Consider the following 19,013-nt stretch of genomic DNA (forward strand, 5'->3'; position numbering starts at 1 on the left):
CAATATGCAGCTGTAACTAGGATCACATGGTATGATTCTGGACCTTGAGAATGTCAATAAATAGCAGGGTATTCAAGCAAACTTGTTAGTAATTTTCCTTTGATTGTGTAAATTTAATATTGAGTGGAATACACAACTCTGAATTGAATCTTACTAGCTGGCTATAGTGTATGACAAAATATTTCCTTGAATTTCAGAAATAATCGCAGCTGCCCATTTCTGCATTCTGGCTGCATTCACACACCTGGCTCTCTGAAGTCAAAGCTTGTTTGTCACCATGACTTTGCTCCCAGGTGCCTTGTACCTTAAAAAGGCATGCAAACCGAAGCAGGAAAGTGGAGCGAATAAGGGAAGGGCCTGGAAAAACTGGAAGTAAGAACTGTAACCTTGGACTCTTTTCATACCCCAAAAAAGGTTTTATGGATGTTGATCAGTTGTAGGCCAAGAAGGTGGAAATCATTTCCGCCTGAGTGCTGAGAGCCACAGAGGCATCTTCGCCCTGCATTTTCTCTCAACTTGTTCTCTTTTCTAAGCTTGGCAAGAAAGGTTCACTCAGTCCTACCCAACTCATGGTGGAGTATGGTATCCTGTACAAACAAACTGTAGCAGTCACTGGGCCTCTATTCAAATTGCACCGGGTCCTTTTATTTCCTCCCTGGTTCTTAGGGGTGGCTCACCCTAAAACATCATTGGGTGGTAGCTTGGCCCCATTCCAACCAAGTCACAACAATGAGGTGTTTACTGATCTTTGGGATTTTTTTTTTCTTAACCCTAAATCATTTCTTCTCAAACTTGGTGGCACATTAGAATGATCCAAGGGGCTTTAAAAAGTACTGATGCCTTTCTAGGGGTCTCACATTGGGAGTTTCAAAGGTCTTCTGGTGATTCTAACATGTAGTAAAGTGTGAGAACTTCTGCCTTAACCCATGAAACCGCGTGGGCTTCTTGGGGGCCATGTGCACCCTTGGATCTAGGTTGATGAGTGTGAGCATGCAGTGTAGAGAAATATCCTCCAAGAGCCTCACGTTACCCATCTGAGAGCTGCTAGAAACTTTTGCAGTTTTTCCAAGGTCAGTGTTCCCATCACTGAGCACTGAGGTGACGAAGGCTGAATTGAGATACAAATAAAAGCAGCTCAAATTGAATCCTAAGAATGGCTGGTTGGTTCATAATGACCTGATTTCTTCTTTTCACTAAACTTTGTTCAGAAAAACTCTTAAGGAGGTTTTACCTGAAAGGGAGACATATTCTTTTGCTTTCTGTTATCGGATAAAAATTACAATGGGTGTAAAATTATAAATAAGTAAAAACATATATGTGTATGTATATATATGTGTATATAATATGAACATACATACATACGCGCATGCACACACACACACACACACACATGCACACACACATACACACACACACACCCTAAATGGAGACCAGGCGACAATGTCTGAAATGGGTGGGGGCCAAGTGTATTTCTATTTACTACTTGTACATATTTTCAAGAAAGAAATGAAAAACAAAAGAGGGTATTTCAGGATCATTTGTTGTGGAAGTGGTTAAAAACCCTCCGGGTGATCCTCGTAGTTTCTGATGAACTGTTACAGGCAGTTCAGTTTATGTACATTTCATTTAGCAAATTGCCTGCCTTTTATCGTTTTTATTTTCCTGATTTTGTGTATTCAAATACTACTCCATCTGCCAAAGGTCACAGATCCACCCAGGCACCAGCAAGACTTCCCCTTGAGGAATGGAGTTATTGATGCCCTCAGCAGGGGGTTTCCTGCCCCTGATGCTGCAAAGTTAATTACTGGAACTAACACCATCTCTAGTCTGTCATTCTGCAAGCCATGCATACGGCTGCAACTTCCAAAAATTGTTTTTGGGCTTCTTAGGATACTGATAACCCTGTGTGGCATATAGTATCATTATATTCTAAGCATACACCCCAGGAGATCCACAGATGTGTGGTGGAGAGGCTTGTGCCTCAGCATGTGCTGTTTAAATAATTTTCAGTGTTATCCAGAATCCTATCTTACAGATACTTACCAGAATGTGAAACCAATTAACCATTACGGACTGTGAATTTTAGCATGACTAAATAGATCTGCATTGGCAAGACAAGCTTTCCAATATTTGAGAAAAATATCGGAGTACACGCTCTGATATGAGCTGATACATTATTTGGGAAGTGGGACTTACTCTGTGAAACCAGGAAGGCTCCATATAATATGAAATGCATATTCTTCCCACTTTTACAAGCTTATTTCCTCTTGAATATTATTTCTATACTTTTGGTAACTTTCAAATGGTAAATGGTAGTCCCCGTGATCCATGCATAGACAATTGAGAGATCGAATAGAGCACATCATCTAATGGCTTAATTCTATTTTTAATAAAGTAAATTGTTAAAATAGACCAACCAACATCTGTTATTTTCAACACACATCAATTTTGTGTTTAAACTAGAATAGCATTTGGAGCAAGGTTTCATATAATTATAGAGCTGGAAAATACTTGAGATGTTACTATGTCTGACCATGATTAATCTCTTTAAAAATCTGCCTCAGCAATGAACTCTGTGGGCCTCTGCATGAATGGAACAACCTGGTGGAAGCTCTCTATTCCAGAGTCAGCTCTACATCCATCCTGTGTCACCTGCTCATATATATGTCTTTTTTTTTTTCTTTTCTTCCAAGTCAATACCTTTTACTTGTTTTCTGGGTCATTTTCCTAGAGCTTCAGCTTTATGGATTGAGTACTTTTCAATAGTTTCCAGCCTGGGGCCTCCTTTTCTGGCTTGTCAGCTAATTACTTACCCTTGGAGTTAATTATTTCCTTCGTGGTAAGAAAAAAAACTGCAGCCTCTGACTGTTGTCTGCTTGGAGCTGTCTGGTTGTAACAGCTAGACCATAGAGTTCTATAGGACATAAACAATTTCACAGAATGTCAATATTAGACAATACCTGTCTCCAATCATGGATGGAGCAAGACAAAAACAAAACAACTCTAAACATGTCTGAACAGAGTCAAAGACAAGAACATGTCCAGACCAAAATGGCCAAACATTTCCATTTCTGGGCTAATATGAGTGATTGCTGCTTCTTTACCAATTATAGCTTTAGCCTCACTGTTCCTCCTATTAGAAAAAAAATTATTAAGATATCCAATGATAGAATTGCCCTGCTTTCTTTTTTCTTTTTCTTTCTTTCTTTTCTTTTTTCTTTTTTTTTTTTTTTTTGAGACAGAGTCTTGCTCTGTCGCCAGGCTGTAGTGCAGTGGCGCATTCTCGGCTCACTGCAACCTCCGACTCCCTGGTTCAAGTGATTCTCCTCCCTCAGCCTCCTGAGTAGCTGGCATTACAGGCACGTGCCATCACACCCAGCTAATTTTTGTATTTTTAGTAGAGACAGGGTTTCACCATGTTGGCCAGGCTCTTCTCAATCTCCTGACCTCATGATCTGCCTGCCTCGGCCTCCCAAAGTGCTGGGATTACAGGCATGAAACGCTGTGCCCGGCCAGAATTGCCCTGATTTCTGATGGTACCCTATGTGAAACAAAACTGCTTTCTTGAGCCTTCCTTTAAGTTACCTAACAAGCCAAATCCTAACACAAGTCCATTCTAAAACCCTCTAACGAAGATGCCCATTTCATGGTTCTCCATAATGTGGTGGGTCCTTCAATGTAATGAGCCAATAAGCCTGATTTGGTTGAATATAGGTGTGTGTCTGGTGCTGTTGGGCTGGAGGACATTAGCAATGGGGACCTATTCTCTGTGAAATAGTCGTTCAATGACAACAACACTTCTTGACATAATCTGCAGTCTCTCAAATATCTAATACCAGCCTCCTAAGCAGTCCCACCAGGAACAGATCTGTCCTATGAGCAGACTTGGACCATCTAACCCAATTTCTTCAATTTTCAAATGAAACAAAACCAAACGCAAGCATTTTTCCTCTCTGAGGCCATCAGGTAGTTAGTGGCAAAGCGGTGATTAGCACCCAATCATCTGACGCCTGCTGTAGTGCTTTTTCTGCTCTACCGTGCTGACTATTTAAAGAAGTACAACTCCCAAAGTATAATACACCTTTGAGCACTAAATTCAATTTACTATCCATCTCTCCTTAATTGAGTTTGGTTTCCATTCTCTCCTTAGAAAACACTTTAACCTTCAAATATTGGGCTCTGTCCAAGGCAGGGCTACCCACACGTTACTTTGAGCTTTGATTTTAAAAGCTCCTATGGGTACTTTCGGTAGGGGCATTAATCTCTTAGGTGTAAGAATCTTATGTAGCATTAACTCTGGTCCAAGCTGATGTTTTCTTTTCTGTTCAGAATTGGCAGTGAGTTCTGCAGTGTAGCTAACCAATGAGAGTTTTTATTTTATTATTATTATTTTTAATCTCTCACCTTCCATAGTTAAGAGAGAGAAAGCTTCAGACACACACACACAAAGTGAAACAAAATACAAAAATTCTACCACCTGGCCTTCCTGTGTTAAGAAATGGTTACTAGTGAGACTGGATTCTCCCAGGCAATATTATTCACTCCAACCATTTTACTTCTCTTCTTTGTTAATCTCTAAGTTTTCTACCTTTAAAAAATAATTATTTACACTGTAGTTTTACCCTCGGGATTTATATCAGAGACACACTGCTTTTTGAAAGGACTTTCTTAAAAAATACACTTTTGAAGAGACAGAATAGTTTCTTGAAATCACAAAAATAATATTGAGGTGTTTTTAAGTAAGAAAGAAAATGGAACTTTGCTATAGAGTAAACCTGTATTTATTATTTTTATACTGCATGCATTTTCATGTCTTTTGAAAGAGGGTAGGTACATATTGATATCCTATTTTTCCATTTAACAATATATAATAAATATAGCTTCATATTTTTACATGGATTGCATTGTAAATAATTTCAAGGAAGCAGAATATTATGTTAATGTGTCATAAACCTGTTTTGGACATTTGGTTGTTTCTAGTTTTTGAGTTTTTTGTTTGTTTGCCTTGGCAGTATAGAAAAGGCTATAGTAAATATCTTTGTGTAGATAGCCATTTGCTTCTTCTGAATTCTTTTATGTTAATTCTCAGAATTTGGATAATAGTGTTGCTGTTTAGAGACCAGGGACATCTCTATGGCTCTCATTATAGATTGGCCTATTGCTCACCAAAAGGTTGTAGGCTTCCAGCAGTCCTTGCATTACTGAAACCTCATCAAAATTGCATATTATCACTAAAAATATTTGCTCCTTGATTTTGAAACTGTAAGATCACACCTCTACTTTATTTTATTTTGCATTTCTTTTCCATTAAAAGGGAAAATTATCTTTTATCATCTGTTTACTTTTTTTTTGCAATGGCAATTTCAAGTTCTCAGGCTGACCTAAGGTAAATAGAAGGCTGTTTATCTTTTGCTGCATCTCGAGTTGTACACTCTTTAAAGTATTCAAATTCCCACCCTGGAAAAGAGCCAGGCTTCTTTGGAATTTGGGAAACATTTGAGGACAGAAGAGCATGGATCTTGTAGTCTTTATCTAGTAAAGAAATGAGACCCTTTAATCTGCTTCTTTGCACCCAGAATTACATTTTTAGATCGGTTCTGCTCTCCTGGCTTTTGTGGGCATTTTAACTTTAATTCTATAATAATTTTCATTCTTTCTGGTTTTCTTTAGCTGTAATATTTATATTGGGCACTTACCTTCTCTTCATAAGTTGGGAGTAGTATATATGTAGTATGGCAGATTTTATTTTTTTTCTTTTTATTTAAAAGTAGGTCAAGAGAAAAATTTTCTTTCTCCAAAGGCAGTGGGAGTAGAAGTGTCACTTGCTTGTGAGAAGCCTACATTATATGTTTTCTACATGTTTAGCAGTATTTCCTTTTAGTTGAGAAATGCATAATGGTTCTTTCCTTAAAAAAATTAACAATTTCCAAAATGATAATACTCCTTGGATAATCTTCATGCTTTCTAAGTTAAAGTTAAGATTATGGGGACAATGGGATAAACTATTTATAGATAATACTGGATGTCCCCCAAAATTTGGAAACCCCATCACTATAACTCTGCTCTATTTATGCGTAGTCTTTTAACCAGATATGTAAAAGCATGCAACTTTATTTTTATGATGAGCCTCACCTTGCTCTAAACTCCTCAGTTCTGTTTATGGTGGAATGGGGGAGGGGCTTGATTGCATCAATTAAAGATGATTCAGTCAGTGGCATTTCTATTAGTCTCTTTCAAATCGTCATTTGAAAGCTCAGCCCCCCAATCAAAGCAGGTTTTCTTCCTTTGAAGAGATCTCCTCTATTCTTCCTTCTTCCTAATTGCACATAGTGTAAGAGGAAGTCTGTATAAGCTATGGAGGGTGGGGATTGGGTAATAGGCGTTGGTGGGTCCTTGCTGGATTCCTCTGAGAGATTCACTGGCATCTGGTGCTACGGCCCACTGAGTGTAGCTGGGCTCACCTGGTTTGAGGGAATCATGTTGGCTGCTTTTGCTAAAGACCACGGTCCATGCCTTGGCTGACCTACAACCTCAATAATCCTATGAAAGCCCATTGGTTCCCATAGCACTCCTTGCTGAGAGGGCTTGCTGAAATTTCTGAGCTCCCAGATGCCACACTTGGCCACAAAGATCTGCCTGGATACCTCATCCATTTGGCTGTATGTCCAAATTTTATCTTCTCAAGGAAGCTAATGCTTTCTATAACATGCACCTTGAAAAGCAAGAGGCAGGTATCCTCCTCTTTGGGGATCACCCAGATCAGTCTGGGAGCTCCCACCACTTCCTTCTCAAGCCTGGGGGTTTATGCTCTCCCCTTCTTTCGGCAGTAATAATGGGATAGTTTTTTTATTTTTATTTTTTTTTGGTGGGGGCAGGAATCAGATTACTGAAAAGGAAAATATATCAGAAGACATATCCAAAATGTCATTCCCATTTTGAGTTTCGGAATAAGAGGTGAAAAGAAGACCCAGGTGAGGTTGGAATGGATGGGAGAAATGAAGAGGTGAATTCCTTGATATACATTTTGGAGAAAACAAACTGCTTATCATATTTAAAAAGATGCTTGAAGGCTGCTTTTATAGCTGTCTCTAGGGCTGCTTTAAGTGGTTGACACACACACATACATGGCACACATATATGCACATGTATTAACACATACACACATGGTGTTTGCCATTACTAATAACTAGGAGGGCATGGCCACTCTACTTTTATAACCAGGGAGATAATCATTGTTCTTTTTAAAAATCAGAATTTTGCAGCCAATTACACATTTTCCCTATGTCTCAAGTCCAGTTAATAAACTGATTTCTCCATTCTCTCCTTGTTTGCTTGTAATTTAAAAAGCAATTGCTTGACATATTTGGACTGATTACTGAATGATAGTGGTAGAATATTTATTACTTACAGGATACTTCCTATGTAGCAGGTAGTTCTAAACCCTGCAACTTATTAATTCATTGAATCCTCCTAACAACCCTATGGGGTAGGTACTAATCAGTGGCCAGAGATGATTCTGAGTGGTAGTCATCCAGTCCTTCAGAAACTCTGTGAGTCTGGCAGAGGTTAAGAACCTGGAGTGGTTTCTGGGGTGGTGGGCTGTAGACCCTCTAGCTGGCTTCCCCTTGGCCTGTGCCAGAATGCGTACGAGTGGCGCAAGGCAGAGTTGATGCCATCCTGAACTGTGTCCCATCTCTGCCCATGCATAAACTTTTCTGCTGTAGTGAATGCTCCTTTTGATGAGTAATACAGGAATCTTGTTGAAATGACAGGTATTTGGGATTGTTACTTTTGCTCATGGCAAATTCCTAAGAGGACCATGCCTGATTTGGAAGGGATATGGGGGAACAGGTCATGTATCAAGAAGTCCATCATGATGATACCAAATATATTAGTCTCTTCTTGCACTGCTATACAGAAATACCTGAGATTGAGTAATTTATATAGAAAAGAGGTTTAATTGGCTCACAGTTCTGCAGGCTATACAGGAAGCATGGCTGGCAGAGGGGGCAGGGTCTCAGGAAACTTTCAATAATGGCAGAAGGTGAACGGGAAACCAGGCACATCTTGCAGGCTTGTCTTACATGGCTGGAGCGGGAGGAAGAAGAGAGGAGGGGGTGGTGCTACACACTTTTAAACAATTAGATAGCCCACTCACTATAATGAGAACAGCACCAAAGGGGAAATTCATCCACGTGATCCAATCACTTCCCACCAAGCCTTACTCCAACACTGGGGATTACAATTTGACATGAGATTTGGGTGGGGATCCAGACCCAAACCATATCACCGTATTAGACCCACTCTGCATTCTGCAGCTCTTTATCCTTTCATACTAAAGTCTCAGGATGACCAAAACATTTCTTCTTGGTTCTCACTCAGATGGGCTTCTTCCCAACTTAAAATATAAACTACTCTTCAGGAAGCACTGTGGCTTACTAAATAAACAGTGAGTGATCCTCAGTGCTCATCACAGTGCTGGGCACTTGGTCAATGCTCAAAAACATGCTGAATAAATGAATGCAAAAAAGTCTTTCCTCCTCCCACACCTGCCCGCCAGAGAACAACCCCCCTTTGACTATAATTTTCCTTTACCTACCCAAATCTTATAAAATGGCCCCACCCATATCTCCCTTCGCTGACTCTCTATTCGGACTCAGCCCGCCTGCACCCAGGTGAAATAAACAGCCTTGTTGCACACACACACACACACACACACAAAGAATTCATTGCTCTTAGCTTTTGCACTGTTTCCTTTTGTAGACCTTCCTACATAAGTATTTGTGTATATGTCTGTATTTCCTGAATGAATAACTCCAAGTTTCTTGAGGATAGGGGCCTGTCCCTTATTAATTTCTCTAAGTCCAACACATTGTACAGTGCCAAGCGCAGAGTGGAGGTACTCAGTATAAGTCTGTTGAAATTCAGTGAAATGAAGGCAGAGTGATCTGATACTTTGGCTGGCTTTCAGAAAAATCATCTAGCATAGGAATAGAAAAACTAGAAATGAAGGGAGCCAGGGCTACACTCCCCAAGAGTGATAAATTGAGAAATAAGTTTTAAGCCTGGGAGTGCATTTTGAAGCAAATTGGCAAGAGATATGGGCCATAAGCACATTTCTCAAGGTCTGTGTCATTCCTTGGTGGAATTTTCGGAGGCAGACCTAGCCTGGAATGGTCTTCTCCTTTCCTGACCTCCTGTGTCTCCCATTAACTTCTTTAGTTTGTTATTGGTTTATTGTCCTGTGCTATTAACTGTATCCTCAATGTTTATGTTTTATCTTTACAGCTTGATTGAGAGCTATTTAAGGGTGATTCCTTCTTGGGCTTTCTTATGTCTCCCTTTTATCAGGTTCTGGGAGCCTCTTCCCCTCTTTCCAACATCTCTCTCTCTTTACAGCAGGCCTTGGGAAACTCCCTGTCCTCCAAAAGCCTCTTTCCCACCATTCTGCTTGAGGTTTCTGGCTCCAGTCTTGTAACTCTCTGATTTCTTTCTGCCTTTTCTGCTTTTGCAGAGAAATTTTGGTTCAATCCCTTGCTTCCTTCTGGTTTGCAGCTTTGCCTTCAATGAAATCCTTTGGATTCCTTGTGCTTAAAACTCTGGTTGCAGGCCAGTCATTCCTCTCTCTCATTTCTCCATCCAGTCTGACTCTAGGCTTTTCCCCAGGTTCTTGGCCATGGGCCCTGGCTTGTCTTGGAGGAGAGTTTGCCCAAAGTGAAGCACTGAGTAAATATTTGATACCTGATGACACATGCTTTCCATGATTCTTTCTCCCATTAAAAGAGCTGTTGTTATTAGTTTTTTAATCCGAGGAATTTTATCTTTATCTTGAAAATATATATAAATGTTTATTAGGTTATTTAATTTCATCTAGATCTTAGGAAAGCATGGATTACTAAAATTCATATGTGGTGTAATATTTTGCCGCCTCCTTGTGAAGCATGACTTGGAAAAAGAAATACATAGTTAGTTGGCTGACCCTGGTTGCTATCTTGGGCAAATCATTTACCTCTCTGAACTTGGCTCTTTTCTGTAAAATGAAAACAGAAACGGAGGTCATAGATATGGCATAGAAGTTTGGTGAGGCCCAGTTGTGTTAACATTTGTGAAAGAATTTGTAAACATTAAAGTTTAAAGTTTATTTGTTATGCATATATAAACATTATTATTCTTATATGTGATTAAAACTGTAGCCAAGCACTCTAAAAGTTTTCCTCCTACCCAAGAGATATCAAAATGGAATGCTGTGTTTTATTACAACTGGCTAAAACAACTAAAGAACTTTGAATGTGAGTGACTCCCTTACATCAGTCCTTACTGAAAACTTTCTTTACCTACACACAATAGGACGTGTTGGAACACTCATGGACACTGCACAGCTCTATTGGCTCGTTCCACACTGTGCAGAGAGCAAGTTTGACATAACCACTATCAACTCATTTGTGAATACAGGTTGAATATCCCAAATGTAAAAATGAAAAACTAAAATGCTCAAAAATCCAAAATGTTTTGAGCACTAACATCATGCTCAAGGGATATGCTCATTGGAACATTTAGGATTTTAGATTTTTGGATTTAGGTTGCTCAATCAGCAAGTCTAATGCAAATATTCCAAAATCTAAAAGGATCCAAAATCTGAAACACTTCTGATTGCAAGCATTTTGGATATAGAATAGTCAACCTTAAAATTCCCAACTTTTACCTTTAACCTAGTTCAGTACATTTCTTCATTGGAATATATTCTCTTGCCTGGCAACCAAATAAACTTGTACATTCTTTTTTTAAAAATGTATTTATTGGCCAGGCTCAGTGGCTCATGCCTATAATCCCAGCACTTTGGGAGGCTGAGGTGGGCAGATCACTTGAGGTCAGGAGTTTGAGACCAGCCTGGCCAGCATGGTGAAAACCCGTCTCTACTAAAGAAACACAAAAAATTAGCTGGGCATGGTGATGCGTGCCTATAATCCCAGCTACTCGGGAGGCTGAGGCAGGAGAATTGCTTGAACTCAGGAGGCGGAGCTTGCGTGAGCTGAGATCGCGCCACTGCATTCCAGCCTGGGCAACAGAGCGAGACTCTGTCACAGACACACACACACAGACACACACACACACAGACACACACACAAAGTATTTATTATTGCTGGGAGCGGTGGCTCACGCCTGTAATCCCAGCACTTTGGGAGGCCGAGGTGGGTGGATCATGAGGTCAGGAGATTGAGACCATCCTGGCTAACACGGTGAAACCCCATCTCTACTAAAAATACAAAAAAAATAGCCAGGTGTGGTGGCGTGCGCCTGTAGTCCCAGCTACTCGGGAGGCTGAGGCAGGAGAATGGTGGGAACCCGGGAGGCAGAGCTTGTGGTGAGCCGAGATTGAGCCACTGCACTCCAGCCTGGGTGACAGAGCGAGACTCTGTCTCAAAAAAAAAAAAAAAAGTATTTATTATTATTATTTAAGTCCAGTGAACTTTATTATTTGACAGCATTATCTGCTGTCCCAACCTCACCTCTTCCTGTATTAGTCATGAGTTTTCTTCTTGCTCCATCTAATTAAGTGTTGGGAACACATCTACCAACCTCAAGTCCCACCTCCTCCATGATTCTTCTCTGATTCATGTCCAGAGATTTCTCCCTTTGCTGAATTTCTTTCATGGTAAAGAACATTTGCCGTCTTTTGGCCTCCCTTCTTGCATTCCTCCCTCCTGATAGCACCTCAGTGCCTTTGGGGGAATTACTCAGTGGGTGGAGTTGCAGAGAAATGATAAACCCAGAGGCTCTGCCCTCCTACGTGAGAGGCTGAGAAATCCATACAGTTCTTTTCCATTAGATCCTTCCTATTATTGCCCCAGTATGGTCAAAGGGACCAGCCCACTGGACTCTTTCTACTGAGACTTTGAATCTTGAGTAGAATCTTGGAAGACACGAAGAACTGTTAATTCATTTTGAGGCTTCATGCCTCTTCAGCCTTCTTTTCTATCCCATGATACTCCATGTGCTTACACTAAGTTTCTTTTCTACTTCAGTCACTGTTTCATGCAACAAACATAACCCTAAATGATGCATTATTTATTTCATTTAATTAAACCTGCCATCTAATGCTACACATTAAAATTTAAGCATTTCCTGAGTACTTGTCTTGTCAGCTAGATTCTTTAACTAGATTATTGTATTAGCCTATTATCCTATGAGTCAACTAGATTCTTTGCTCCATGAGGTCAGAAACCATATCTTATTTTTCTCTGGATGCCTCTCCCTGTCAGTGTCCTAGGATGCATTTTATTACAAATAGCTAAAACACTTAAGAACTATAAACCTGAGTGACTCCCTGACACCACTCCTTACTGAACCTAACTGAAAATTTTCTTTACCTACAAACAATAGGATATGTTGGAACACCTACATACAGTGCACGGATCTATCAGCTTATTCCACACTGTCCAAAGAGCTAAGACTCTATGAACTTTTGTTGATTAGTAGATAATAGACAGCTGGAGCTTCTTAATACCAGACTTACGCACCTAACCTTTTGGGGAAATGTGCTCCAAAGGTCTGTGGCAAGGACTCTGGATCCACTGTTGCATGTTTGAGCGCCTCTGGACAAGTCTTTAGAACTTTTCCTTTAATTTGCCTTTGCTTCCTTCAAGGGGAAAATGAGATGAATAAATGACCTCCATCAGCTAACCACACAGGAGTGGTTTGATGCATAATCCAATGTGCCAAACACGGCTGTGCTTTGAGCTTCTTAGAAGTATCTACTATATAAATACTATATGGGTATAACCAGAAAGATTTAGTTTTGAAAATAAAATGTACCCTTCCTGCTCCTCATAACCCTTTGTTAAGGCATGTGCCTATTAATCTTCCCCAGGGATATGTATATTTCAATAGGAAGAGTGAAGCTGGAGTTTGGCACATCCCTATTTCTTCTCTCCCTCTTCCTTTCTGTTTTGCACACTGCATCTGCCATCACAACGCACTGACACATTACATGGTTAGGTCTGTTTATCTACTCAAGATATCTTTATTGGACACCTACTCTGTGAGGTGCTGGAACAGGCTCTGAGAACATGACGTATAAAAATACTGTGCTTGGGCTGGGCGCGGTGGCTCACACCTGTAATCTCAGCACTTTGGGAGGCCAAGGAGGGTGGGTCATCTGAGGTCAGGAGTTTGAGACCAGCCAGGCCAACATGGTGAAACCCTGTCTTTACTAAAAATACAAAAACTTAGCTGGGAGTGGTGATGTATGCCTGTAATTCCAATTACTCAGGAGGCTGAGGCGGGAGAATTGCTTGAACCTGGGAGGCAGAGTTTGCAGTGAGCCGAGACCACACCACTGCCCTCTAGCCTGGGCGAAAGAGTGAGAGAGACTGTCTCAAAAAACAAAAAACAAAAACAAATAAAAAAAACTGTCCTTTGTCACTAGGTAAGACAGAGATGCATGCATCCCTTCATTCATTTGTTCAACAAATATTTATGGAGTTGACTATGTGCCAGACACTCTTCTGGGTTCCAGGATATGGTAGTGAATAATGCAAACTCCCCTTTGAATTCTCTAGGACACATGCTACAATAGAGGCACATGCAAGTTTCAGTGAGAATGATCTCCCAAGGGAGGCCTCCTGGGACTGAGTCTCAAGGGCATACATGGCAGGAATTAATAGAACGGAAGAGGACACAGATGAACTTGTGTGGAGTTCCATATCATTATAGAAGAGCACAGAAATGTGAAGATGGAACAGATCAAGGACCAGGAGCCAGTGGCAGAAGGGATTCCTTATTTTATGAATATAAAACCAGTCCCTGATAACATGAAAAAAAAAATTTAACTGTTTGAAGCTTCCTCCTCCAAATTCGACCCACCGATGATGGGTCTGAAAAATTTTACCTGCTTGGTTTGCAAGAGGCATTTGATGTTTATTATTCAATCTTTCTATGGAGCAACCATTGCAGGATTGGAACTTCTTTGCATTAAAAGCAGCAGTTGCATAGCATGGTATTCCTGAATTTCTCTCATAGGTAGAGGATGTTTTTATTATTTTAAGATGCAAGCCAAGTATTATCAGAAGGCATAGGCACTTGGGAGTTACCAAAATTTCAGATGATTCACAAGCTGGCAGTGACAGACGGTGACATCTTGATTTAACACTCCCCTGGTGAAGAGGGAAACAGCAATTTTTAAAACTGCATCCATGACTGTGTTTGGGTCACTTTTGAACCATTTGTATGTAATTCAGGATTTACTGGATTTTTTTGAACATTCAAATGTAATTCCAGGCTTAACAAGTTGCTCTGCAAACTATCAAATATTTATATTGTTTTTTTCCAAATGTATTTATTATTTACTGTACAGTCTATGAAATATTTACACTGATTTTTAAAGAAAAGATATACATTATTTACATTGCCTTGAAATTTCTCCTGATGCAGGTAAAATGACACAGCACAGAAGGCTGAAAGACTCCCAGGGATGCCTCTCAGGTTTGTCAGTAAACGCACGGAGGCTCTGTCCCTCAGGAAAACACCTGACAGTGGAGTTATGTAATTAAAACAAGGTGGGGATCACCCAGGTTTCCTTGGAGTCCCTACTTCCTCATAGTTCTTGGGTCTCCAATGGCAAGAGGGAAAGTTGGAACGGTTCCTACCAGCTTCTCTCTTTATTCTCCCAGGTTTCCAGGTGCCTTTCCTTACAGGATGGGCAGCACCTTGATTTTCTCTCTGGGACCCAGAATATCCCCAGCTGCAGAAGGAATGATTCTTTTCCAGGAAAATAGAGTTGAGGTTCCCCAGATTGAACTGACTGTCAAACTTAACTGGCAATATTATTAATAACATGTATTCTCAGCCTCTATCTTATCCCAGGAGATTCTGAGTATGTCAGTTTGGGATGCTGCCTGGTAATCTATAGTCTTAAAAATGTGCCTGTATGGGAGGATTGCGTGAGGCCAGGAGTTTGAGATCAGCCTGAGCAACATAGTGAGACCCTGTATATACAAAAAAATATTAAAAAATAGCCAGGTAGGCTAGGCGCAGTGGCTCATGCCTGTAATCCCAGCACTTTGGGAGGCCGAGGTGGGTGGATCACGAGGTCCGGAGATTGAGACCATCTTTGCCAACCTGGTGAAACCCTGTCTCTACTAAAAATACAAAAATTACCTGGGTGTGGTGGCATGCGCCTGTAGTTCCAGCTACTAGGGAGGCTGAGGCGGGAGAATTGCTTGAATCCGGGAGGCAGAGGTTGCAGTGAGCCGAGATCACCCCACTGCACTCTAGCCTCGCGACAGAGTGAGACTCCGTATTAATAAAATAAAATAAAAATAAAAATAAAAATTAAAAATATAATAAAATAGCCAGGTACAGTTGTGTGCACCTGTAGTCCCGGCTACTCTGGAGGCTGAGGGGGGAGGAGCACTTGAGCCTGGGAATTGGAGAGTCCAGTGAACCATGATTGTGCCATTGCACTCCAGTCTGGGCAACAGAGTGAGACCCTGTCTCCAAAAAGAGAAGCGTGCCTATCGATTCTGATTGTCTAGTAAGTGTGGGAACCTTTGGAGGAGAACCTTATTTATGTGTGTTTTCTTTTAATTTGAAACATACTTAGATGATTCTCAGTCTCCTCTCATCTGGCTGTCCACCCTCTCTTACCTTGTTTGTAGATGTCTGAAATCACCCTACTAAGTCTTGGTGAATGACTCATCCCCACTCAGGACTGGTGTGGGATATTGGTATGGGACATTAGCACATGGTCCTTTTCTTAGGCAGATGCCCTCTTGACGAATTGATCTCATAAAATGATGCCTTGACATTCTTATCTTTGCAACCACTACTGAACTTTCTTTCCTGATAGTAACGTCTTCAGTCCATGCTTCCCTGAGTCACATGACCTACTTCAGCTTTGTTTACAGCTCTACCATAGCTGGTTTTGGGGATTTGCCATTAGATACTCTTAGAATCTGTCTTGAAAGAAACCTGAATATAGGACTTAGGATCCTACTTAAGTATGCATTTTTTTAATTTAATTTAATTTATTATTATTATTATTATTATTATTTGCTATTTAGCTTAACACATTTCCACCTTAGTGACTAGAAACTGGTTTCTGGGAGCATTTTTGGTTTTGGATCTCAGTTGCAATGTTGAAATTTGTAGGTTGGCCTAAGTCAAGTAGAAGATACTGTGTATCTAGGCCTGTGATTAGTGCTGTGGGGTAGAAAGAAGAGGAAGACTTTGCTCCTTCTCCATAAAATTTTTACATTCTGGTCAAGAGGATAAAACCAATGTATACATGTTAGTTAGGATAGGCTGCAGTAACAAACAACTTTGCTTTCTAGTCTCAGAAACTTTAAAAACAGGATTTATTTCTTATTAAATTACAAATCAAGCAAGAATTATCAGGGAGATTCTGCTTATTTTTGTCTTGTGTGGTTTGTTTTTAAATCACTCTATTGAAGTATAATTTACACACAATGAACTGGATTTATTTTAAGAGTACAATCCAATGAGTTATGACGTGTCACCATAATCTATACATAGATCATTTCCATCACCCAAAAAATTCTCCTGGTATCCTTTCACAGGATGCCACCATCCTCTGCCCTATGCAACCACTGATACAGCACTGCAGATTTCTGTCACCATAGATTAGTTTTATCTGTTCCACAATTTCATAGAAATGCAATCATACAGAACATACTTTTTTCTGTCTAGCTTCTTTCAGTTAACATGCTTTTGTGATTCATCCATGTTAGTGTGTGTATCAGTAGCTCATTCATTTTATTGTTGGAGTAGTATAGATTCTGCTTATCACAGTCACTTAGGATCCAGACTGATAGGGGCCTTGTCTCAACAAATGCTTCCAGGATTGATGACTGACGCTGGGGAAAGGACTCTAGAGGGTCTCTCACCAGCAATTAAATGGCGTAGCCTGAAAGTGATATGTCACTTCTGACTACAACTCATTGGCCAGAACTACTCCTGTGGGCTTCCCCCACCCCAAATAGCAGGAAGGGTGGAAAAGGACAATTCCCTTGTGTGCCTAAAAGGAGGAGAACAGAGTATTGTCATTTACCATAGTATGAAGAGGATACAGATTAACCCTTGAACAATGTGGGAGTTAAGGGTGCTGAACCCCCATGCAGTGAAAAAATCTGTATAAAACTTTTGACTTGGCCGGGTGCAATGGCTCACACCTGTAATCCCAGCATTTTGGGAGGCCGAGGTGAGTGGGTCACCTGAGGTCAGGAGTTCGAGACCAGCCTGGCCAACATTGTGAAACCCTGTCTTTACTAAAAATACAAAAATCAGCCAGTGTGGTGGCATGCGCCTGTAATCCCAGCTACTTGGGAGGCTGAGGCAGGAAAATCGGCTTGAACCCAGGAGGCGGAGGTTGCAGTGAGCCGAGATCGTGCCACTGCACTTCAGCCTGGGTGACAAAGCGAGACTCTATCTCGAAAAAAAAAGAAAAGAAAAGAAAAGAAAACTTTTGACTCCCCTAAACTTAACCAATAGCTCACTGTTAATCAGAAGCCTTACCTATAACATAAACAGTCAATTAACACATTTTTTATGTTAGATGTATTATATGCTCTGTCCTTATAATACAGCAAGCTAGAGATAAAGAAATGTTATTAAGAAAATCATAAAGAAGAGAAAATATATTTACTATTCATTAAGTGGAAGTGGGTTATCAAAAAGGTATTCATCCTTTTCATCTTCACACTGAGTAGGCAGAGGAAGAGGAAGAAGAGAAGAGGAAGGGTTGGTCTTTCTGTCTCAGGGTTGGCAGAGGAGGAAGAAAATCCAGGTGTAAGTGTACCCATAAGTTCAACTCCTTGTTGTTCATGGGTCACCTATATATATATAATCAAGTGCTGAGTGCAACTCATGCAGTACACGCAGTGAAGAGAGAAAGTACCTGCGAAAGGTATAGGGTAAACCTTTGTAGGTGGGTGCAAGAGACTAGGGAGAATAACAGCAGCCACAATATCTTTGGTCATGAAGTGTACGCTATGTAACACCAGGAAAGGGGCTAAAAAATTAAATCACTGTCCAATTTAATCACGATGACAACCATTTGAGATAGATACTATTTTTATTAATATCTACATTTTATAGATAAGGATATTGAGGTTTAGAGAATGTTAAATACATTTTCCAAGATCTCAGAGCTAATAAATGGTGCAGCCGGGATTTGAACTGAGAGAGTCGTAGTTTAGAGGATGGAGAAAATTCGAGTAAAAGCAAGAAAATGGAAATGAGCCTGGTGTATTTGTGGCACGAGGAAGAGACCACCCTGCCACAAACAGCAGGGTGGTCTGCAATTAGTAGAGGACCAAAGTTAGCTTTATTTCCAATTCTACATACAGTACAAGGAAATCTTCAAGACTTTTTGGGAAATAAGAGTATCTGTGGTCTTAAAAGAAGTAAAATAAGATTGCTGCCTTTGGTAAATAACTTTGACTTTTGGGGATTTGACCTTTAGTTTTTAACATGCTTTAAGACATTGCTGACCTATGGGATTATGCATAATTTACTCCTATCATCAGTTTATAAACCTCCCTTTCCCTTGCCAAATCTTGATGGGAATGAGCATGACTAAAACTGATGTATATGGAAATTTGGATTTGTGATTCTTTTCAGGAATAACATCATAGAGCTTATTTGTGAATGGAAACAAATTTGAGTGATGGACACATATGGTAATTTGGAATAGTGAAAACAGCCATGTCCATCAGTTTTTGAAATATTTACAGGGGATGATATCTGTTGATATGGTTCTAAATTGGAATCCCTGTTGACTCAATGTGTGGTGAGTTACTCAGCCCTGAATTATTGGGCACCTGAATTATTGGCTGTTTCTTTATTGGCTATTTCTTGTTATACAGAGAGGGAGAAAATTGAGGAAAGGATAAGCATGATTCAGATAAAAGGGTAACACCAAAGAGCAAAACTCTCAGAAAGAGACAAAAAATTACCCCAGCAAGAACAAACAACAAATGATTCTGAAAATTTAC

At 40.2% G+C, this 19,013-nt stretch overlaps 1 long non-coding RNA gene across 1 annotated transcript in view, besides 1 other annotated feature; it reads left to right on the forward strand.

Annotated features, from left to right (window-relative positions):
- Positions 1-19,013, forward strand: part of LOC105373893 (uncharacterized) — a 428,255-nt gene that overhangs the window by 200,160 nt on the left and 209,082 nt on the right. The gene's annotated exons all lie outside the window — the stretch shown is intronic.
- Positions 1,479-2,046: an enhancer, noted in NCBI's record as "OCT4-NANOG hESC enhancer chr2:221134071-221134638 (GRCh37/hg19 assembly coordinates)". NCBI's record gives its function as "activates a minimal SCP1, AML or CMV promoter by ChIP-STARR-seq in naive H9 embryonic stem cells {active_cell/tissue: H9 hESC(naive)}" and the evidence as "EXISTENCE:reporter gene assay evidence [ECO:0000049][PMID:30033119]".

This window comes from Homo sapiens, chromosome 2 (assembly GCF_000001405.40).
Source record: "Homo sapiens chromosome 2, GRCh38.p14 Primary Assembly".
Classification (NCBI taxonomy): Eukaryota; Metazoa; Chordata; class Mammalia; order Primates; family Hominidae; genus Homo; species Homo sapiens.